The 25083-nt window shown below is 41.3% G+C and overlaps 1 protein-coding gene across 1 annotated transcript in view; it reads left to right on the forward strand.

Moving 5' to 3' along the window:
- EPHB1 (EPH receptor B1) overlaps positions 1–25083 on the forward strand; it is a 465208-nt gene that overhangs the window by 393514 nt on the left and 46611 nt on the right. Inside the window, exons 11-12 of the mRNA NM_004441.5 lie at positions 3803–4050; positions 12701–12916. Of these exons, the coding sequence (NP_004432.1) occupies positions 3803–4050; positions 12701–12916 (464 nt within the window). The remainder of the gene's footprint in view (positions 1–3802; positions 4051–12700; positions 12917–25083) is intronic.

Raw genomic sequence — 25083 nt, forward strand, 5'->3', positions numbered from 1 at the left:
TTACAGGGGCGAACATAATCTCCTGGTGAGGATTAGATATTAAGTGGCATTCTTTGCAGTTGGTGCTTTGAAAACCTCCTGGCTTGGAGAATATGAAGACACTTCTTTGCCAGACAGGAAAGGAATTCTTTTACAGAATTTCCATTCTTTAAGTCACTGCAGAGCAGATTTCTGAGAGCAGTGACACCATGACCACGAAGGTAACCAACCACAAAGTCCACCATGCCCTACCCAAAGAAGGCATGTTTATATTTTATAATTTTTAAAAACTGTATGATGAGTTTTTAGACTTGAAGACCAGTCACAAAGATTAAAAATTAAATAACGTTTCCCAATTAGGAAAGTAGTTTGATTCATACTGTCCTATACATCTTCATTGATTTCTTCCTTCCTTCTTTTCTTCTTTCTCTCCTCTCACATCTATAAAGTCCATACTATGTGCCAGGACCTGTGCTGTATGAGGCAGGCTATATGTGTGCTTTGCTTTCAAAAGTATTCAGAAGTACAGAGAGAAATTTCAGGAATGCCATGGCTTTTGGCAGTTCACTAATTCATTTGAAAAGAGCTTGGATGGTTTAAGCCTATGGTTTTCAGCCTGAGCGGCATGTCAGTATCACCGGGCAGCCAGGCCTGGCTTCATGGACCTGTGACTGGTGCATTTTCACAGGGCCGGATGTTCAGAAGGACATGCACTTGGTTTAATGCTCTGCTGTTACAGTATTGAAATGCTCAATAGTTTTTGAACAAGGAGTCCTGCACTTTTACTTTGCACCGTGCTCTGCAAATTATGTAACCAATCCTTTGGGCAGCTTTTAAATATGTCAATGTGCAGGCTGTATCCAAACCAATTCATCAGAATCTCTGAAGTGAGGCCCAGGCCTCTGGACTCTGTAAGTCTCTTCAGGTGATTCCATTGGGCAGCCAACTTTGAGAACCACTGAGGTAGAACAGAAGTTCTCAACTGGAGTCTTTTTGTGTGTTGTGGGGGACATCAAATTCACCTGGAGCACTTTTCCAAACTCCACACACTGATAGGTAGAAACTGATAAATACACTGATTTCCAAATATTCTGATGCCACCCAACTCCCAGGCAGGAGGCTTATGTGAAAGACATCTGCCTGTTAAACAGTATCACTTCTTTTGTTCTCACATGGATATTGAGTTGCTATGACAGTCACTATATATGACTTGTTGGGACCTGCACATTTGGGGCATGATGGTCCCTGAACTATAACTTCATATCTATGTAGCTTTATTCCCCATGTCCCTGCCAACTGAAACATAGCTATCTAGAGGCAGTATGGCAGGAAAAGATGGGTATGGACCACAGCCCTGGCTGTAACTCCCAGCTGTGTGATTGGGACATGTTTTCCTTGTGCCTCAGTTTCCTTATTATTTAAATGGCCATAGTAATACCTACCTCACAGGAGTGTTGTGAAGATTGAATAAGTCACACAAAGTGCCTAGCACAGTTCCTGGCACATAGTAGGTGGTTAATAAATACACATTTGTGTGCTGTCTCCTCCACAAAGAAATATTAACACACCTTTACCCTCAACTATCAACTCTGGCTTTTTTCTAAAAGAAAATAGAGCCCATTATTATGACAACAAGGAAGAAATACTAACCAATATTCTTCCATTAGTATACTTACCAAATATGTAATTTGTGTTCATTCAGCTCATAGTTATATATATATAGCATATATATGCTACGTATCTACATGCATACATATATGCTACATATATACATGCATACATATATCTAGACATATATACATACATCCACATATACACACACATATGTGACAGGTCTGTATTGTCTAGTACTTTTCTTTAAATTTTACTCATTTTAATTACTAAATAAGTTAAGCTATTGTAGTGTTTGTCTATAGAAGATGATGCTGCAGTAAATATATTTTTAACATACAAATTCAAATAGTGGTACTTCTATTTCTGGATAAAGCAGAGATAAGAATCTTCAGCAGTTTGTAACCCAAGAGTGAGCAAGGCAAAAGCCAAACATATAATAATAAATATGATACAACAACTTTTACTGGCATGTCTGCTATGTGCCAAGCACCACAGTGGAGTGGATGTGCAAGCTACAAACAGGAATGAGACTTGGTCTGACCTCCAGCAGTTCACCAAAAGAGTATATGATTCAATGTGAAAAGCAGTGTTGCAGCCAGGTGCAGTGGTGCACACCTGTGGTCCCATCTACTCAGGAGGCTGAGGCAAGATGATCGCTTAGCCCAGGAGCTCGAGTATAGCATGAGCAACATAGTGAGACCCTGTCTCAAAAAACAAAACAAAAAAAAAGGAGTGGAAGGGAGGAAGGAAGGAAGGGAGGGAGGGACAGAGGGAGAAAAAGGGAGGAAGGATGGAAGGAAGGAAAAAGAACAGCCCCCCCAAAACACATAGTGTTGTAAATGATATTTATCTGAGTATTAGGTCCATGTTGAAATCTTCCTAATGGTGCTTAACCAGCCTCTACTCCAGCCCCAGGTTCTATCAAGTTCTGTTGACTCTGGAGAAGTTTTGCATAACAGTCCTTTCACACAGCTTCCTTCCAATCTTTTTTGCAGCAAGAAAACAAAAGGAACTCCCAAATGAATCACAGGAGCAATGTTAACTTGTCTTTCTAATATGGCAAGTAATTTATCTGATTGCTCAGTTTGCTCCATCATTTTCTTCCAGAAGTGGAAAGTGAGAGAGAAAGTTTTCTCAGCAGAAAGCCATGTTTCTTCTGCTGCACTTACAAGTAGACACTGAACTGCTTCACATGAAAGAATTGGAAGTAACCAAGCCAAATTAAATTATAAAATAACTTTTGAAAGCATGTTAAACAGGATTCAACAGATTTTTTTTTTTTTTTAGGCAGCTATGAAATAATGTCACCATAATTGTTTCTACTCTTGGTGACTTTACTGTGAAAATGTTTCAACGCTGTGGCATGCATGGAGGTGTGCAGCTCATGCCTGTTTGGAGAAATAACTTGCTATTCAGCTGCCAAAAGTGCAGTTAGCTGACAGCCTCCAGCTGCAGCACCTTCAGGGTCGGCCCCGGCTTTCCTGCAGAGGCCCAGCTCTTCCCAGCAGCCCCCAGCCAATGACTGAGCATGGCAGGGATGTGAGGGCTGGGCTGCTTTTGCAATGGGAACTCTGCTCTGGCTCTCCCTTTGGGTTAGCTGGGATTTCATCAGGTCTGCATGGTGATCTTGGGCTGTCTCCGCCCAATCCTGCTTCCTCTCACTTTTGTCTTTCACAAGTGAACCTCTTCCCTTCCTAACTCCTCAGTGTCTGTTTTCTGGGGCACCCAATAAACACAAATGCTCTCCCAGCAGTGTAGGAACATAAACAGTATACATCTCATTCAGAGGGCCAAAGTACCTGAACATGTCTCCTATCCCCTGAATGTTCTTGCACCAGTATCTGCTAAAAATGAATCATGATCCTGCCAAAGTGAAACTGACCATTTCATTTCAATTATTCAGCTGGCACACAATGGAAAAATTAAGTGTGGGGAAAAACAAACTCACATATATTCTGAAATTCCACTTTAGTTACCCAAACTATTTCTAAGTACCAAGGTAAGGAATGTACTTTAGTAATCCTTTTGTGTTTGCCATGAACTGGTTACAGCCAAAACAATATAGTTACAATGAGAGAAGACTGTTTTAATTTCCGCCACTTTAATCACAATTCCACTTGGGGCACCATTGTTCTCCATTAGATGACTTCCCTCTTGAGTCCACAGACTGAGAAGGAAGAGGATATTAATGGCATTTTTGCTGTTGCAGGGGAGTTTGGAGAAGTGTACAAGGGGCGTTTGAAACTGCCAGGCAAGAGGGAAATCTACGTGGCCATCAAGACCCTGAAGGCAGGGTACTCGGAGAAGCAGCGTCGGGACTTTCTGAGTGAGGCGAGCATCATGGGCCAGTTCGACCATCCTAACATCATTCGCCTGGAGGGTGTGGTCACCAAGAGTCGGCCTGTCATGATCATCACAGAGTTCATGGAGAATGGTGCATTGGATTCTTTCCTCAGGGTAAGAGCAACTCAGGGGTTTGATGATGCACTTGGATGCAGGTGAATGATGGCTGGGGAGAGGGGTTCCATGAGCACAACCTACCAATCAGGAATCGCCTGATCCAGTGTGAATGGGCATTGGAGATGTTAGCAGAGATTTGTTGCTAAAAGAAGAGAACAAAACAGGGCTTGTGGGATCCTCAGGAGGAGGATGGCATGGAGTAGGGCGTTGACAAATGCTTATTGGATGAATAAAATGAATAGAGAGGGACAAAGAATGGCCATTGGCATCTGCATGAATCACAGAGATTGAAGAGACTTTTGGCTGCTGCACAGCCCTGTGTGATTCATGCAGACATCCGCGGCCATCTCTGCCTTTCATCAGCACAGCCACCCTCCCAGACTGCTCTCTGCATTTACAGGTTCAGAAGTAAAACAGGTTGCCATTTTCTGATGCCTGGGCCACCTGCCCTCTGAGGAGGCACTTCTGAGTAGGGAAGGGGAAGACTGCATCACAAGCATCCACGGGTATTTCTGTGATTGGCGAAGATTCCCAACCAACTTGCAGCAGAAGTGGGGAGTTGCTGAAGGCCTTTGGCTGGGAGACCTGTAAAAGATCATTGTCAGAATATGCCCAAAGTAGAGCCAGGCCCACAATGAAACCATTTTCATTTCTGTAGGGTATCACTGAGCACCTAGAGGAAGGGTGAATGAGAATGGCCATGATGCTGATATCTGGGGAGTGGAAGCTGATAGCTTCAGCCAGGAAGCAGAAGCTGAGAGCAGAGGGTCCAGTGGGCAGCATCAAAGAATGGGCAGAGCCTTCTGAGCAAGGACTTCAGAGTGATACCCAGTAGCTGGCTACACACATTACCAAAGCAACCAAACAATAGCTGTGGCTACAGATTAAAGGGTCAGTCATTGAAACATTGCTGGGATCACTGCTCTGGCCAGGCCCTATTCTGGATGCTGTGCCTATAGAGATAAAGGAAACCTTGCTCTAATGCTACGTAACAAATCATCCCCAAGACCTCAGTGGCTTAGCACAACAACAATTTATTTTGCTCATGAATCTGCAATTTGGGCCAGGTTTGGGAGGGACACCTCTGATCCATGTGGAGTCAGTTGCAGTAGCTCAAGGGCTGAGGCTTAGAATTGTCTGAAGCCTCTTTCATTCATATATTAGGTGGTCAGTGCCATCTTTCTAGGTGGCCTGCTTGGACTTCCTTAGAGCAAGCTGGGTCTCAAGAAAAAGCATCCCAAGAGAGGAATGAGGAATCTGTATTACTTTTGTGACCCAGCCTAGGAAGGCACATAGTGTCACTTCCAACGTAGTGACAGGCCCAGATACAAGGGGAGAAAACAGGCCCCACATTTTGATGAAGGGACATCAACTCAATGTCTTCTTAAACATGATAGATGGGAGATCTTGTTGTGTTCATCTTAGACAGTATAACCTGCCATCAATGTAGTCCCTACTCCTGCTAGTACCCAAAGCTTCTAGTAATCATTTGCCTATCTTATACTTTTTTTCCCCATAAGTTAAGTACAGATGTAGTAAGTGAAGAAGTTCTTAAATCTTCCTGGAGAATCTAGGGAAGGCTTCAAAGAGGAGGAAGAATTTATCTGAGATTAGAGAATGAGGAATTTGCCAGACAAGCGAGAAGCAGGTAGGTAGGCTGATGGAACAGCGAAACAGTGTATATGAAGGCCGAAGTAAATGTGGACCTATTTGGTAATTTATCAGCTGCTGCATGGTAGCTCCAGCACTCAGAAACAGAGCTTAGGGGCTGTAGTGTGGAAGGGTAGCTGGGGGACTTGTCTAGAAGCACACTACTGAAGCTACCTTTGTACAACAGGAACATGCTTTTTGCCCAGTCTGGGTCACTAGGAAGTAGTGGCTTTTGTTTTTCTGAGGGTGCAGGGGTGGAGAACAACTGATGTAGATTACTGAGCCCATGTACTTTCCCTAGGACAGCCTCCTTGAGGGTATGGGGTTATGCTTTGTATTTGGAAACTCCAATACCTAACACAGTGCACACCTGGTAAATGCTAGTTGACTAAAAGATTATTTCTCAAACAAAAATGCTAGGGAGTGGCACGAGAGCTCTAGTCATCCTGTGTGTACATTATCTCTCACTGTCCTTGCTGCCACACCTGTCATGTCAGTGCAATCATTGTCTATGCTTTCCTGGGGACATTCATTTATTATCAGAGATCTCATGAAGACAGTTGAATAAACAAAGTTGAATGAAGTTGAGTTGAATAAACAAAGTTGAATAAACTTGAATAAAAGGCAATGTGAGAAGGAAAAGCATTTTCTGGAACCACTGTCAAGACCCTTTTGGGAGTCATTTATTTCCTACCAGTCACCTGATTGTACTTCAGAGAGAGTCACTGCTTGATTTGGGGACTGTGATCACACTCCCCCGCTGGAGTGTGCAGGGGAACAGGGAGATTCATTCTCATGAGCCTGCGGAAAATCAAAACCCCACACTGCTGCTCTTCCTAGGGCCTGTTTTCTTTTTATTTATTTATTTATTTATTTATTTAAGTTTTAGGGTACATGTGCACATTGTGCAGGTTAGATACATATGTATACATGTGCCATGCTGGTGCACTGCACCCACTAACTCGTCATCTAGCATTAGGTATATCTCCCAATGCTATCCCTCCCCCATCTCCCCACCCCACCACAGTCCCCAGAGTGTGATATTCCCCTTCCTGTGTCCATGTGATCTCATTGTTCAATTCCCACCTATGAGTGAGAATATGCGGTGTTTGGTTTTTTGTTCTCCCGATAGTTTACTGAGAATGATGATTTCCAATTTCATCCATGTCCCTACAAAGGACATGAACTCATCATTTTTTATGGCTGCATAGTATTCCGTGGTGTATATGTGCCACATTTTCTTAATCCAGTCTATCATTGTTGGACATTTGGGTTGGTTCCAAGTCTTTGCTATTGTGAATAGTGCCACAATAAACATACGTGTGCGTGTGTCTTTATAGCAGCATGATTTATAGTCCTTTGGGTATATACCCAGTAATGGGATGGCTGGGTCAAATGGTATTTCCAGTTCTAGATCCCTGAGGAATCGCCACACTGACTTCCACAATGGTTGAACTAGTTTACAGTCCCACCAACAGTGTAAAAGTGTTCCTATTTCTCCACATCCTCTCCAGCACCTGTTGTTTCCTGACTTTTTAATGATTGCCATTCTAACTGGTGTGAGATGGTATCTCATAGTGGTTTTGATTTGCATTTCTCTGATGGCCAGTGATGATGAGCATTTTTTCATGTGTTTTTTGGCTGCATAAATGTCTTCTTTTGAGAAGTGTCTGTTCATGTCCTTCATCCACTTTTTGATGGGGTTGTTTGTTTTTTTCTTGTAAATTTGTTTGAGTTCATTGTAGATTCTGGATATTAGCCCTTTGTCAGATGAGTAGGTTGCGAAAATTTTCTCCCATTTTGTAGGTTGCCTAGGGCCTGTTTTCATTTGGGGCTCAGGTCACGGAGGCATGTTGGACACCAGCATTTCTCATGTTGATGAGCTGAGCTTGCAGGGGAAGAAAACCTGGGGGCATGAGAGGAGCACGGGAAAACAGAGGAGCAGGCATGGTAAGAAAGGAGTGGTGGGAGCAGGCAGTGCCAGGAGGAGAGGGGGAAATGAAGCGTTTCTGACTCCTCACACTGCATGGAGGCAGGTAATCTATAAATCTAATTTCAGCCTTACTACCGAACCCTGGAGCATAGCAACATTAATTGACATATCTGCTGCTTGATAAAATCGAAAAATAGGTCATCAGTTCAGTTCTACAGGGTCCATCTTCTGGGAAGTAGGATAATTTTAGGATCACTACTCAGAGAAGAAAGGAAAAGGATTAGTCTTCAATTTCTGGAACTGTTTCCTCCCCTCCAACTTCTCCTTTCCCACTGGTCATAGCGTCTTTGGAGAGTGGCTACGGTTCTAGCCCTGAATCAGCATCTGAGAGATACCATTATGCTTCAACCACACATTCAGTAGATGGTTCATTATTATCAATTTTCTAAAAATTATTGTGCCATGGATTATATAGCATACAAATCCATAATTAAATTTTTCCTTCTTGATACTCAAATTCAAGGGATTCAACCTGGTGGCTCTTCCGTAATATTAGAAACAATTCGGCTGGGCGCGGTGGCTCACGCCTGTAATCCCAGCTCTCAGGGAGGAAAGAGGCTGGAGGATAGCTTGAGCCCAGGAGTTTGAGACCTGCCTGGGCCATATAGCGAGACCCCGTTCTCCAGAAAAAGGAAAAAAAAAAAAAAGACAAAAAAAATAATAATAAGCGAAACAATTCCTGAAGCTGTGACCAGTATCCCATGGTTTAGTTAACATGGTTCTTGACATGCGCCATAAGGCCTTCTTGCCTAAAGCTTGGCTTTGTGGTTGCTGCTGGTTCTTTCACAGATAATCATAACTGGAAGACTCTTGAAAGTCGCTGAGTAATGTCAAACGGGGACATTTCTCATCAGAGAAGCTCATTCATGGGCTGCAGCTAGAAGATAGCAACCCAGAAGTCAGGAAGAGAACACCAGATTGGAAGTCCTGAGACCAAGGTTCTGCTTTGGCTTCTGCTGTGAGTCACCCTGTGGCCTGGAGCAAACCTGTTAACTCAATTTTCCAATTTATAAACTAAAGGCATTGAGCTAGATGAGCTTGAAAGGTCCCTTTCAGTTAGAAAAAATCTATGATTCATTTTGTTCAAACAAATCAAATAAGAGTTTCATTTCCTGAAGTGGATTCGTCAATGAAAGTTGAAATACCTAAATCCTTCCTGTCTAATATAAGGGCCAGCAAGTGGCTTCGGTGCATTTGCAGAAAAGCAATTTCAGCAGAAAGCACTTCATGAAGGGAGGAAAGTTTAAATCACCTCACCTAGACCTGTATTTCTTCTCTGTACTATGTTTTTACTATGTGCTCAGCATGGAGCCAGGTTCTTTCCCAAAGTCACCAAGAAATAAGTTAGTTTTTTTTTTTCTTATCTTGTTCATCTTTGAATGCTGCTGTTCATATCTCTGGAAGTTCTTTTTGGAGAATTATGCCAATCAACTGAGCATGTAACAGTTAAACATGCCAGAAAAATCTTAATATGTTTTTATCTTTAAATTTCACCAAGGTTACGAATTCAGCAGACATGACCCTACATATCTTGATATGTGGTTCTCTTGAAGATTCTAAAGAAAATGTATTGCCCATTGCAGAGTCAGCATATTCCAATGGCAAAAGCACAGGATAGGAGTTAGAAGACCCAGATAAGAGTAGCATCACTAATCCATCATGGTTCTTCTCCCTGCAAAGCTTATGCACAGCCTTTTTCTCCACACAGCGTTTGAGGCCACCATTACCAGTTGATCGGAGATGGGTTGTCAGTGGAGAAGTGATTTACCATTCTGAACTTTGATTACTGTTATAACTCAAACCCACACCGTGATTTAAGGCTGATCACATACATTTTCTGGACCTCCTTTATCTTGTCTGTGAAAACAATATAATATTGCCTGTCTTGCCTACTGCACAGGACTGGTTTTAAGGATCTAAACATATTCTGTAAGTATTATGTGCCATTCAAAAGTCAAGTGATGGATGCTACCAACATTTGTGACTAATTGAGCCAAAGTTTAGGCCTGCATCATTAGGTCCCAACCATCTCCTACAATTACAGGTGCCTATCTGTTACCTGCTGAGCTCAGCATGTGCTGAGTAGTGGGCTCCCCAAGGACAATGATCCCAGGATGTTTCACACACACACCCAGGAAGCCATGAAAACCCAGAGTTCTGGTCCCAGGTGTCCTCAGTCTCTCTCACCACACTCATCTGAGGTACAGGGGAACTGACTTGTGAGCCGTTACTTAGGCTCTGCTGATGTTAGCAGGGATCATTGCTACCGTCTTAGGATACACAAGGCACTGAGCTAGGGCCTTTCATATGTGTTATCTCATTTAGTCTCACCAGAACCCTATGAAGAACGGACACTATGTTCTTATTTTACAGATGTGGAAATAACTGCTCTGGAGGTTAAATAACTTGCCCAAGCCCACACAACCACTAAGCTGCAGAGCCTGGATCCAAATCAGGTCTGCTGGCTCCAAAGCCTGGACCTTTCCTCATTTCTTGGTCTTTTTTGACCCCAGAAACTATAAAATTTATAATCTAAATTTTAAAACAAATCAGATAATAAAGAAGTTCTAAGAAGACTTAAATGACTTAAAGCAAAAATGTAGACACATTGCTGCATGCACTTTCAACATTACTGTTCTCAAAGTTGTTTAAGCCACCCCAGTGCTCTCCCCAAATGCCATCTTTTTTAGGGAGACATTCTGTATGTGTAGACACTGTTGCCTATACTTACAGAGAGGAAATAATAGACTGAATTGAAAAAATACAATCCATGTGACTTGTGGCTGAGATACACCTCTGTAATATATAGAAATTGCATGACAACTTTCTGAAGAAGCAAATCCCCAGAGACCTACTTGGAGAAAATGCTTCGTGCTAGCAACAGCCTGCCTAACTTCTTGAGAAGGTGTTGATTGAAGTGTATTAGTGAGAAGGAAGATCTGCATCACTCACTGCACATCCAGCTCACAGATGGGCAACGTGCTGAAAACCAGTCAGAGTTTCCAAAAAGTAGCTCTAAACTTTCTTTTTGAGTTGCTTAGAAGAATCTATTATGGAGAAAGCATACATTCAATCTCCTGGGCAGGTTTGGAGGTGGTTAAAGTTAGAGTTAGAAATAGCCTGGAACTTGAAGTGTGTCAAACACAATATGTTTGGGGGCCCTTCTACTGGCAGACATCTTTAGGAGGGAGAAAGTCAATTTGCTCTATTCCTTCAATTGATCAAGGAGCATAACCCCCAGAACATGGATCCAGGCTTGCAATCTTGCATGAGGAACAGAGTTTCCAACAATTCATGCAATCATTGTTAGACTTTTTGATTGTTGTTGTTGTTGCTCCTAAGTAGAGTATTTTTATAACAGGTCTTTTATTTTTCCTTGCTTATTTTTGCATAGAAAATGCTTTTGCAGGAGCATATGCATGTGAGTGCATTGTGTAACATCTCGCATACAGTAGATGCTCAATGATGGGAGCTCCTCTCATTGTCTATGCTTTCTGCATTTCACATAAGGACTCTGGGATGCAGGTGGTGGTTGCCTTGCAGAGTGCCTATGTTTAGCAGTAAACATAGACTAGACCCCAGGTGTCCTGCTTCCATCTCTCCTCCAGTCAGAGCATTCTAATGACTAGGCTGTGCTCTACTTATAGAACATAATTCTCAGCCCTTTGGGGAGCATTTGGGGCTAGATTAGATGGGAAAATATGTTCTTGGCAGTATAGCTTAGGGTCTACTGATTTAACTGGTGTGTGCAAAGTCAAGACCCAGGAGCCTTGGGGAGATAGGAGGAAGACACTGTTTTATTCACTGAAGAGTCTGTTGTCTAACCAGAGGGAGGGCATCCACCCAAGAAACTCTGAGCCCACAAATGATAGGAGAGAGGACAGCACTGCAGGTTGCCATGAAGAGGAGCAGCAACAGCTCCCATTCACTAGGAGAGTTCCCTGTGCCAGACGCTGTGCATGAGGTTCCCCTGACCCACTGTCCCTATGAGGTAGGTGTGGTTATACCAGTCTAAGGGCTGAAAGCCCTGGGATTACCCAGAGAAGGTGCTTTACATGCTTGATTTTGGAAAGAGGAAAAGATGTATTCATCATTCATTCAACTTGTGTTTATTGAGATTTTCTATCTACCTTAAAGTTTACAGCACTGATAATACTATGGTGACCAAAAAGGACAGAGTTCTTGTCCTCCAAGAGTATAAAATCAAGCAGCAGAGACAGACAGACAGAAAGACACACACACACACGATTAAAACTTGTGATATGTGCTAAGAAGACTAAGAGTATGCACTAAACATTTGTCATGAGAAAGTGCTAATCATATTTTGGGGGGGAGTTAAAGGGATGTCCTCTCTAAGAAAGTGACATTTAAGCGGAGAACTGAAGGGCAAGTAGATGTCGATTGTTGGAGGGAAAACAGAGGGAATAGCACATGTTGAGGGCCCTAAGGCAGGAAGAGTTTGTCTTGGAAAAGAAGAAAGGGTGCCAGTCACTGTGGCTTTAGTACATTAGTGATGGGTATGGTGGCCTAAGGTAAGGCAGTAGCTGATCCCAGGCGGTCTCATGGACTGTGCTAAGGAGTTTGGAGATTTTCCTTAATGCAATGGGAGGCTATTAGATATTTTTAAGCCAGGGACTGACATGGCCTGATTTATGTCTTAAAAAGATGGCTCTGGCTGGAGAGAATGGATTGGGGGGCGGGCAAGGAGGCTGTTGTAGGTGATGGATGATGGCGACTTGGTTGGACTGGCGGCAGTGGAGATGGAAAGAAGTGAATGGGTTTGAGATGTAATTTGGAGACAAAATTGACAGGGCTTGGCAAGGAGAAGAGAACAAAACATTCAAGGAGAAGAATGGGGGATGGGAGTGGGAAGAGAGGAGGACACAGTGAGTGGCTTGGCCTGGAGCAGACAGAAGCTGACAAGCAGCAGGGCCACAACATCTCTCCCTCTGCTTAACCATTGAAGCCCGTCTTGATCCCAATGCCCTCTATGTCTTATTACAGCAAAATGACGGGCAGTTCACCGTGATCCAGCTTGTGGGTATGCTCAGGGGCATCGCTGCTGGCATGAAGTACCTGGCTGAGATGAATTATGTGCATCGGGACCTGGCTGCTAGGAACATTCTGGTCAACAGTAACCTGGTGTGCAAGGTGTCCGACTTTGGCCTCTCCCGCTACCTCCAGGATGACACCTCAGATCCCACCTACACCAGCTCCTTGGTGAGTCCTTCTTGGCATTCTCAAGTAGAAGCATGGCATGAGTTAAAGGGGACTCTACATGGCTGGGAACTGTGACAGGGCACACTGGGAGGGAATGGAACCTGAACTGAGCTCTCCACTGAAAGACCAAGATGCCAGGAGGACCATCCAGCTGGGAGAAGCCATAGCAGCTGGTTGTTCAAGCAAGAAAGCAAGCATTTGGGCTTGGACTGTGAGGAAGGGTCAGTGTCTATTATGAAGCTATAGTGTTCCTTGGGAAGAGGAAATTTTGGAACAGATGATTTGAGGGAATCCAAGCAGGTAGACACTGGTACCAGAGGCATCTGTCAGCAGAGAGCAGACCCCAGGCATGCATGAGGCCTTCAGTCTGCAGCTGGGTTGGGAACTGTGTCACTAGGTAGACTCTTGATCCCCTTCTCTCTTCTCTCTATATTGCTTCCAAATAGCTCTAAGTACCGTCAACACGATGAGTACTCTTAAACTTGTATTTCCTGCTCAGCCTCCCCCTCTACATTCTGAGCAGCTCTAATTATCTATATCCAACTGCCTAGTTCACACAATTTCATTTAGAACTTTAACAAGCCGAAAATAGAGCTTGGGATTTACTCTCCAATATCCTCTCCCTAGTCCCTCCATCTCAGTAGTTGGCACCACTTAACTAAAGAATGAAACCTAGGAATGATGTTTGATTTCTTTCTGTGTCCATTTATTTTCAATCCCTCAGCGGCCCCCATAGGGTACCAAAAAATCTATCCCTCTTTCCATCTCTACTGCCCCCACCCTATTCCAAAGCACCATTCCCTTTCACCTGGATTGTTACAGTGGCTTCCTAACTGGTGTCCCTTTCCTTTTGTCTCCTTACATCCATTTCAACAGCACCCAAAGTGACTGATCTACCTACTAACCTGTCTATCTGTCTATCCTCTTTAAACCTGCAAAAGTAATGCATAATTATTACAAAAATCAAAACAATGCAGAGAAGTAAAAGGAAACGCCAATTAGAATGGCAATCATTAAAAAGTCAGGAAACAACAGATGCTGGTGAGGCTGTGGAGAAATAGGAATGCTTTTACACTGCTGCTGGGAGTGTAAATTAGTTCAACCATTGTGGAAGACAGTGTGGTGATTCCTCACATATCTAGAACCAGAAATACCATTTGACCGAGCAATCCTTTACTGGGTATATACCCAAAGGATTAAAAATCATTCTACTATAAAGACACATGCACATGTATGTTTTTTGCAGCACTATTCTCAATAGCAAAGACTTGGAACCAACCCAAATGCCCATCAATGATAGACTGGATAAAGAAAATGGCACATATACACCATGGAATACTATGCAGCCATATAAAAGAATGAGTTCGTGTCCTTTGCAGGGACATGCATGAAGCTGGAAACCATCATTCTTAGAAAACTAACACAGGAACGGAAAACCAAACACTACATGTTCTCACTCATAAGTGGGAGTCGAACAATGAGAACACATGGACACAGGGAGACATCACACATGGACACATGTGACACATGTGAACATCACACACTGGGGTTTGTCAGCAGATGAGGAGCAAGGGGAGGGAGAGCATTAGGACAAATTCCTAATGCATTCAGGGCTTAAAACCTAGATGATGGGTTAATGGGTGCAACAAACCACCAGGGCACATGTATACCTATGAAACAAACCTGCATATTCTGTGTGTGTATCCCAGAACTTAAAGTAAAATTTAAAAAAAAGAATAAAAAATAAACTAAAATTCCCCTGAGGCAGGGATTGGTAAACTTTTTCTCAAACGGCCATCTAGTAAATATTCTAGGCTTTGCCGGCTAAGAGGCAAAATGAAAGATACCATGTAGATAATTATATAACCATTTAGAATGTAACTAACCCCTTAAAAAGTTATAAATATCATTCTTAGCTCATGAACTATCAAAAAAGGGACCAGCCAGGTTTAGCTTTCAGACCATAGTTTACCTGCACCTGCCCTGACGCATTAATTTTCAACAATTAGGTGTGCCTTCTTTGACATTTTTCTTTTTGGTCAAAAATTTGAAAATTTTTATTCTACAAAATTTGGATCATATTATGCCTATTCCTCTGTGATCTGGGGTGTCTTTTGGGCATCATTGCCGCCAAGATTACTTTTATGAAAGTTAGCAAACATTCACACTCTACCAGGAGTGTATGGTGCCGGGCTTCAGCATCCTCACCAGGCCTGGAGGTGATCCACCCTCACAAAGGGTTGCTGCTTCAACAATGAAAAATGATGCCTCATTTTTAAATTTCACATATGTCTACTTTTTTAATTTTTAATTTTAATTTTTTGATTTTTAGTTTTTGTAGGTACAGAGCAAGTGTATATATTTATAGGGTACATGAGATGTTTTGATACGGGCATGCAATGCATAATAATCACATCGTGGAAAATGGGGTATTCATTCTCTCAAGTATATATCCTTTGTGTTACATACAATCCAATTATACCCTTTTAGTTATCTTAATTAATTAAGTTTTTTATTTTTTTTTATTTTTTGAGACAGAGTTTCACTCTTGTCATCCAGGCTGGAGTGCAATGGCATGATCTCGGCTCACTGCAACCTCTGCCTCCAGAGTTTAAGCGATTCTCCTGTCTCAGCCTCCCAAGTAGCTGGGATTACAGGCACCCACCACCATGCCTAGCTAACTTTTTTGTATTTTCAGTAGAGATGGGTTTTCGCCATGTTGGCCAGGCTGGTCTCGAACTCTTGACCTCAGTTGATCTGGCCACCTTGGTCTCCCAAAGTGCTGGGATTACAGGCATGAGCCACTGCATCTGGCCTATTTATTCATTTTTTTGAGACAGAGTCTTTGTCACACAGGCTGGAGGGCAGTGGTGCGATCTCGGCTCATTGCAGCTTCCGCCTCCTGGGTTCAAGCGATCCTCCTGCCTCAGCCTCCTGAGTAGCTGGGACTACAGATGTGCGCCACTATGCCCTGCTAATTTTTTTTTTTTTTAAGTAGAGAAGGGGTTTTGCCATGTTAGCCAGGCTGGTCTCGAACTCCTGGCCTCAAGTGATTTGCCCGCCTCGGCCTCCCAAAGTGTTGGGATTATAGGCATGAGCCACCATGCCCAGCCTCTTTCAGTTTAAAATGTATAATTGAATTATTGTTGACTATAGTTACCCTGTTTTGCTATCAAATACTAGGTTTTATTCTTTTTTTTTTTTTTTTTTTTTTTTTTGGTATTTAACCATACCCCCTACCACCACCCCCTACCACCACCCTTCCCAACCTCTGGTAACCATCCTTCTACTCTCTATCTCCATGAGTTCAATTGTTTTAATTTTTAGATCCCACAAATAAGTGAGAACATTTAATGTTTATCTTTCTGTACCTGGCTTATTTCACTTAGCATAATGACCTTCAATTGCATCCGTGTTGCTGCAAATGACAGGATCTCATTATTTTTTATGGCTGAATAGTACTCCATTGTGTATAAGTACCATCATTTTGTTTTAATTTACATTTTCAACTGACTGCTAGTGACATTGATATCTTTTCACATGGTGCAGGGATTTGTGTTTTCTATTGTTTGTACGTGTCCTTATCTATTTTTCTATCGGGTTGTTTGTTGATTTCTGAGAAACTTATAGAAAGTCTTTTTATATTACAGACATTACTCCTTTGCCTGCCATGTGTGATACAATTTATCTTTTCCCCCATCTGTTATTCCTTTATACTGTTTATGATACCCTCTGGCTTATAAAGTGGTTAACATTCATGTAATAGCTATGTCTTCTTGGGTTACCTGGTTTATTTTAAAAGTTATGTTCACTCCAAGGCTATAAAATATTTCCTGGTTTCCTGGGCTATTTTATTGGGAAGGGGGTTTGTTTTATATTTGAATATTTAGTACCTGTGAAATGTATTTATTTTTCCCACATTTTATTTTGAAAAATTTCAAGCACACAGAGAACTTGATAGAATTTGGCAGAGAACAGTCATATGCCTACCACCTAGATTCTGGAATTAATATCTTGGTACATTTGCTTTATCATGTAACTATCCGTCTATCCATCCCTCTGCCCATCCATCACACCATCTATTGTTTTGATGTATTTCCAAGTGATTTGCAGACATCATTACATATCACCCCTAGCCATTTTAGCATACATGTCTCTAACATGTATTTGTTTATGGTTCTTTTTTAAGGTAAAGTGTGCATAGAGTAAAACTCACAAGTCTCAAGTGTACATTTATAGAGTTTTTAAAAATGCGTGCAACTGTGTAACCCAAACTTTCATCAAGATACAGAACATTGCCATCAAACCAGGAATCCCCCTAACCTCATCCCTCCCCATTGCATCCTCACCCACATCCATACCCAGAGGCAACCACTGTTCTAATTTTTTTGACCATCAATTGGTTTTATAACTTCATATAAGTGGAATCATACAGCATGTGCTTTTTTGCATCTGGTTGCTTTCACTTGCATTATATTTAAGAGAACCGTTCATGTTGTGTGTGAAGCAGGAGTTTGTTCCTTTTATTGCTGAGTAATATTCCATGGTTTATTTGTCCATTCACTTGTTGATAGACACCAGGAATATTCCGGAATTCATTTTTGACTATGTATTGGGAAGTATATTCTCACACTGTTTTGTTCAGGTGAACAATTATGCCAGCACTACTTATTAAATATATTATTCATTTTTTATTGAATCATATGTCATCCTTGACATATTAAGTTCATTATATGAAACTATGTTTTGATTCTCAATTCTGCTCTTTTAATCTATTTATTCTTATGCTCAACCGTGTTGTCCTGATTATAATAATGTTAGCAAAAGTTTTCCTGTCTGTATTCTGATTATAGTAATTTTATTAAAAGTCTTACTGTAGGTTGGGCATGGTGGCCTGTGCCTGTAATCCCAGCACTTTGGGAGGCCGAGGTGGGTGGATCACCTGAGGTCACGAGTTCGAGACCAGCCTGACCAACGTGGTGACACCCCGCCTCTACTAAATCCAAAAAATTAGCTAGGTTTGGTGACTCATGCCTGTAATCCCAGCTACTTGGGAGGCTAAGGCAGGAGAATTGCTTAAACCTGGGAGGCAGATGTTGCAGAGAGCCAAGATTGCGCCATTGCACTCCAGCCTGGGCAACAAGAGGGGAGCCCCATCTCAAAAAAAAAGTGTCTTACTGTCTGGGTAAAGCAAGTTATCCTTCATTATCCTTCTTTTAAGAAAAAAAAAAGCTTCCTTGACTGTTCTCAAATATCTTTTCTTTCAAGTGCAATTTAAAATCTTCCTGTCCAGTTTCAAAACATGCACATATACATGTATACTCACATGTGGATTTTGACTGAAATTCTACTCTGTCTTTAGGAAGATTAACATTTCAATGATCCTAAGTCACCTAAATAATGATGTCAGCCAAATATACAATTTACATATACACGACATTAAAAGTTTCTTTGGTAAAAGATTTCCCACGTTATTTTTCTGTACACATTATTTGGATTACTTGCTGTGATAAGTGTCTTTGTAGATGATAGAGCTTATATGTTTCTAGGCCTAAGAGTTCTCAGGATTCTACACAGTGATATGGCCACCTGTCTCACTATATTTTACTATCATTTCTCCACACTTTGCCTTTTATTCAAAATAGAAAAAATTATTTTTGATTATTAAGCAAATATTTTTTCTAAAAATACAAACAATTTATTCAAGTGACAAATATTTATTGAGTATCTACTATGTGTCAACATTAGGCCACAAGCTGGGGACATAATCATGATCAAAAGGAGACATTGTTACTGCTCTCAGTTAAGTGAGGACTGGGGACATTAATCAAACACATGCCCAAATGAGTGCATAATTACCAGCTGAAATAAGGGCCGCTATGTTTTGCGAGAGCATGCATAAAACAATAAATAACAAAATTGCCTAACTGTGTCTAGGAGGGCTTGCAGAGGAAGAGATGGTGCTACAGCAGAGACTTAAAGAACAGTCACTGTTTTAGTCAGCCTGGGCTCCCATAGCAAGCTACCACACCCTGGATGGCTTAAACAGCGGTCATTTATTTCTTGTCATCTGTAGGCTTGGGAGTCCAAGATCAAGGTGCTAACTAGGGATGGTTGGATTCTTATTGAGGGCTCTATTCCTGGTTATGTCCTCAGATGCCTTTTGTTGGCATGTGCACAGAAAGAGAGATCTTGCCTCTTCCTCTTTTGAAAGCACATCAATCCCATCTTGGGGACTCCACCTTCATGACATAAACTAACTGCAGTCACCTCCCAGAGGCTCCACCTTCAAATATCACCCAATTGGGGATTATTAGGACTTAAACATATGAATTTGGGGGACACATAAACATTCAATCTACAGCATTCTGCCCCAACTAAATGTGGCAGGTCGGACTTCAGAGGCAGAGAGGCAGCATATACAAAGGCCCTGTGGCAAGAGGGAAGATGGAGTGGAACTGAGAAGGGACCCCTGTTTAGGGCATTTGGAGATTTAGGGAGGAAGCATCCAAGGAGGCCTGTAGCAGTCCATCATGTAGGATCTTCCCCAAACGCTGTGATAGGAGTTGCAGCCTTAGAGCAATGGGAAACCTTTCATGACGTGTGTGTGTGTGTGTGTGTGTGTGTGTGTGTGTGTGTGTGTGTGTGTGTTGTGCACACAGAGAGATGCACACGTGTGGCCCGAAAGTGATGGATTTGAATTTTAGAAAAATAGCCTGGCTTTTCCTTAGCCTTTTCCTTCCAATATCTTTCCTTGCCTTCTTTAGAAATAACTTTCTTGGATTTCTTCCTGTTTTCTTTCACCAAAAAGCCATTAAGCAGACTCAACCAGGGTAGATGTTCTAAACAAGGGAGGCAAGCCCTAGCAGAGATCAGGACCCATGTGTGAATGGGCTGCTGGCTCAGCAAGATTGAGAGACAAGCTATATACAGGGAGATTTAAAAATAAATTTGAAATAATGGAAACTGTGGGAACAGAGGTATAAATATGGAAAGCATAAAAGCTAGAATGAATTGTATGCTGTGGAATCAAAATTGGAGGTATTAGTGTGAACCGGTGGTTTTAAATATATAGAAATGGAGAAATAAATATAGGCTGAGAGTGGCTTTGAAGCAGTAACATCTACATAGCAAGGAGTACAGCTGGCTCTCAGATCTTGGATTCCATATACTCCCCTAAAAGCAACCAGGACTCATTAGAGACATGGCCCCTTCCAAGGCCTGGAGAGGGAAAATGTGAGATGAGACCAACACATCTTTTTTTTGTGCCAGAAAATGAGAAAGTACTCAAAGAATAATGGGAACATACAACAAAAACAACATCCAGCTTGAAGGGCCTCCAAATCTGGATAATTTGAGCCTCACAATATATAATAATAGTAACAAGTTATAATCTACTGAATAAGATGGGGGCTATTGAGTCCACACTAATATGCATATAAATGAACAAATAGAAACAAGAGAAAGCTCTTCCCTGTAGAGGAAAGAATGATGATGTTAGAAACTCACTATTTGGCAACCATCAGATTAATAGCTAATTCAGATAAGAAACATAAATGGATGCTTAAACTTAAGGTGAACATCAGGAGAGAAACAGGATTTTACATATCTTCAAAGTTTCTCCCCCCAAAATATTTATTTATTACAAAGAGGGAGAAAGTAACTTTACAGAGAAGTTTGGCAAATGCCATCTGAATCAAGTGATTAAAGTCAACATCAGCAATAATAGGACAGGTAAATATTCTGTGCAACTTAGAGGATGCAATGAAAAGAACATAATACTTGCAATACTCTGTTCAAAATTTATAACTTGGGTCTCATCATGAGAAAACATCAGACTACCTAAAACTGAGGTACATTCTATTGAATGTGTGGCCTATGCGCTTCAAAAAATGTTAGGGTCGTGAAAGTCAAGGAGACAGAGAAACTGCTCCAGATTGAGGGGCATGATACTGGGTATACCATGTGATCCTTAACAGGACATCTCTAGGACAATTGTTGGGCTGGAATAGGGTGCCTAAGGGAAGAGTGTACAGGCATTCATTGTAGTATTCTTGCAACTTTTATAGATATTTGAAGTTGTCTCAAAATAAAATATATATATTTTTAAATTTACCTTGACTGCAGCATGGAGGATGGGTGGGAGAGGCACTAGTAGAGACAGGAAGATGCATCAGGAGGCTACGGGGCAATGGGCCTGGGATGCAGCAAATGAATCCCAGAAGTTCTAGTGGGGTGATGCAGAAGGACTTGACAGCAGATGCCACTTACAGGTGAAAGTGACAGATGGCGGAGGATGACTCCAAGTATCCAGCCTGTGCCTCTGGATGGGTGATGGCTCCATTCTCTGAGAGTGAGGATGCTGGAGAGAAATTGGTTGAAGGAGTAGAAGAGTTGGGAATAGATTGTGGGTTTGGTTCAGAATAGTTATTCTCAAATTCTCAATTCTCAAATTCTCAAATGTTGTTGAGTATCAGATTTACCTGGAGAGTTAATACAGAGCACAGAGGCACAGACTCATTGAAGTAGAATAGTCTGGACCTTTTCATTGTTACTAAAATTTTCCATATGATTTTGATACTTAGAAAATTCTGAGAGACACTTGTTTAAACATTTTGACTTTTATATGTCTATAGGATATCACAGTAGAGCTGCTGAATAGGGAGCTGAATATGTGGGTTTGGGGCATAGAGGAGAAGTCCAAATGAAGATGCACATTTAGGAGTCATCGTTGGCATACAAACAGAAACAAAACAGTGCGTGCAAATGTACTTCATTTGGGAAAGGATAGAATGGGAAAAGAGCCTGGTTCTGGACATGAAGGAGCCCAGTTTGCCAATACAGATGTACATAAGATAGGAACAGTAGCTGTCCAATTGTCCCTTCCTCCTGACAGTCAATTAAGAAATAAGAATTTGCCATAAACCCAACCTCCTCACTTTTGGATGAGGAATCCACAGCCCAGAGTGGTCAAGTGAGTTACTCAAGCCACACAGCGTGCTATTGCAGCGGCAGCTTTGGCCCTTCCATCTCGTTCTCCAGACTCTGAGTCCAATGCTCAGGACACTGTGATTCCCTCTCTGGCCCCACAGTGTGCCAGACTCCCTGCTCAACTTTGGTCATTTGTGATGTTCTAGAAAGCCTGTTTCTCTGGCTTTACTTTTCCCTCTTTTCCTCTCAAAGGCCCAGCAAAGGATTCTCTGTAGAGTCCAAATCAGCCGTCATCTTTGCCACTGGCTCTACTGGCCCTTGGATGAGGCACAGAGACGCGGTGGTATTGCATCCCTCTCCACCCCATGTACAGGCAGAGATGGGCAGACACTTAACTTTTACTTATTCTTGATTTTCAGCTTTACTTCTTTGCATTTACTTTTTTCATAGTTACTCTAGAACTAACATAATAATATGTAACATATGCATATATAATATATACGTCTTAATTTTTCCTAGTCTACTTTGAGTTCATATTGTACCACTTTACATAAAATGTAGAGACCACATAATCATATCATATAGATCCATTTAACCATCCACTCCCACTGCTCTTTATGTTATCATTGTTATATATGTTCCATCTACATACATTTATAGTCCCAAAGACAATGTTACAATTTTTGCTTTAAACAGCCATGTGTATTTTAAAGAAATCAAGAGGAAAATGTTTTACATTGCCTCAAAATAGTTATCATTTCTCTTGTTCTTCCTTTATTCCTGAAGATCCAGGTTTCCCTCTGGCATCATTCCTTCAGTCTGAAGAACTACCTTTAACATTTTTTGTAGTGCAGGTCTCTGGCAATGCATTTCTTAGTTTTCTTTATCAGAGAAATGTCTATATTTTGCATTTATTACTGAAATATATTTTTGCTAGATATACACTTCTGGTTTATAGTTTGGGTTTTCTTTCATCACTTTAACATTGTTGTTTCATTGTCTTGTGGTTGCCATGGCTTCTGATGAGAAATCCCACAGTTACTTGAATCATTGTTCTCCTACATATATATAAGTATGCACACACACATATATATTCATATTCGTATACGCATTGTGTCATATTTCTCTGGCTGCTTCCAAGATTTTCTCATTATCTTTAGTTTTTACCTTGGCTATGATATGCCTGAGCATACTTTTTTCCCCAAATTTATCCTGTTTGAGGTTCCCTATGCTTTATAAGATCTGTAAATGTCTGTCTTTCAGTGTATTTGCAAAGTTTTCAGCCATATTCTTCAAATATCATTTTTGTTCTTTTTTCCTCCTTCTGGTAGGGCTGCAGTTATCTAGAGGGAGAAGTTTTGAAAATGTTCCACAGGTTCCTGAGGCTCTGTTCATTATTTTCCCTGATTTTTTCTTCTCTTTTTCAGGTCTACTTTCAAACTCATTGATTTTATCATTTGCCATCTTTGTTTTGTTTCTGAGCCCTTCCGGTGACTTTTTTCTAATAATTGTATGTTTTAGAGCTATATTTTCTAATTAATCCTTTTTTATAGTTTTCAGAATCTCAGCTGATATTTTATCTTTTTATCATTCATAAGCATATTTTTCTTTACCTCATTGACCATAGCTACCATAGCAGCTTTAAAATCTTTGATAATGTTAACATCTGGGTGGTCCTGGGATTAGCATCTTATTTGTTTTTTCCCATGAAAATGGGAGACATTTCTCTGGCTCTTTATACATCTAGAAGTTTGGGATTATAAACATGAACGTTATGATGTGGTGATTGGATTCTGCTACACTGAACCAGAGTGTTGGTATTTTTGGTTTAGCAGGAAATTAACTTGGTTAGACTCAATCTGTAAACTCTGTCATGTTTGCAGTGGGCAACAGCTCTTTATGGTTTTCAATCCGTCTTATACATGCGTGTTTCGGGGGTCAGCTAGAAAATTGGGAAAACTTTATACACAGAATTTGGTATTACCTTTCCCTTGTTATCTTGTTTCTAGGGATTCTCCCTCAACTCTCCAGCAGCCCTAATTGTGCTGAATTCGTTCCCTTGGTTCCTCCAGTCAGAAAGACAGTGGGGTTTTCTATTGGGGTTTGAGCCACTGAGCAGACTATGGCTGCCCTTAGGGAAAAACTACAGAAGATAAAACCTTGTGCTGTTCAGTTTCCAGAAACTTCAGTTCATTTTTCCTGTATTTTCTTTTTCCTTCTCTTGTGTTTTTCTTCCTTTGTTGTTTGCTAGAGTCCATTTGTTAGAAACATACTGGACACCAAAAGTGGAACATTCAGCTTATCCCCCTAATCAGCAGTTCTATAAGACAGTACTTAAGACCTCTCTACTCCATCTTAATTCCCCTATTTTATGCAGTTCTTTCAAGATCTTTTTAACATCACCATCTTCTAATACATCTGGTTTTACTTTGTAAGTGAAGACCTCGTTAATAGCTATTAAAGTTTTCTAGTTTTTCCTACCAGGTCCTCAAACTTCATCTCTCACTCTGCCTTAATTCTCCACCTTGTTTTCCCCCAGGTGTTCCTTCTGTTTTAGATCGCTATTTCTAGCCCCAGGAGCATTTCCTTCCCAAGAAGCTCCTGAAATAATGAACAGATCGAATTTTCTCCTTTGCGCTTTCTTATGATTGGAATAAATCCACTAAACTAAGGAATAGTTCTGAACTGCTACTAATATTCCTGCTCTTTAAGAGAAACAGACAAATGAGCTAGGCTGGACTCTGAACACTTGCATGGTTTACGCAACTTTGTTTTTGGCAGGTATATTTCTGAATGTCGTTATGTGTGTTCAAATAAACATTCCCATGCTTCTGTTATAGACTAGTTCTTGATGTTTGACCTCACAGGTCACCTTCTCATTATTACTGGTTCTGTCTAATGTTACCAAGAGAAAAGAGGGCATGCACATACCAGGAAAGGTGTCACATCTTTGATTAACTTATTGCATTTGGAGCTCACGTACACACTCACAAACTTGATCTTTACCTTTTATCAGCTGACATTGGTGGGCAGAGCTCCAACAGGATCCCACAAATCTCTGGATAGCAGCTTTATGCTGGTTAAATCAAAAGCTCTATTTCAGCATGGCTTTCTTTCTCTTCTGATCAGTAGGAAGAGGCCCATCCAGTCCCTCTGTGAGCATAATTTTCCCTTCTTAGTATTCAGTCAAGTTCCTTCTGCTAAAGTAGTGTCAACTTTCCCATCCTTCAGAGCCC

This window comes from Homo sapiens, chromosome 3 (assembly GCF_000001405.40).
Source record: "Homo sapiens chromosome 3, GRCh38.p14 Primary Assembly".
NCBI classification, from domain to species: domain Eukaryota; kingdom Metazoa; phylum Chordata; class Mammalia; order Primates; family Hominidae; genus Homo; species Homo sapiens.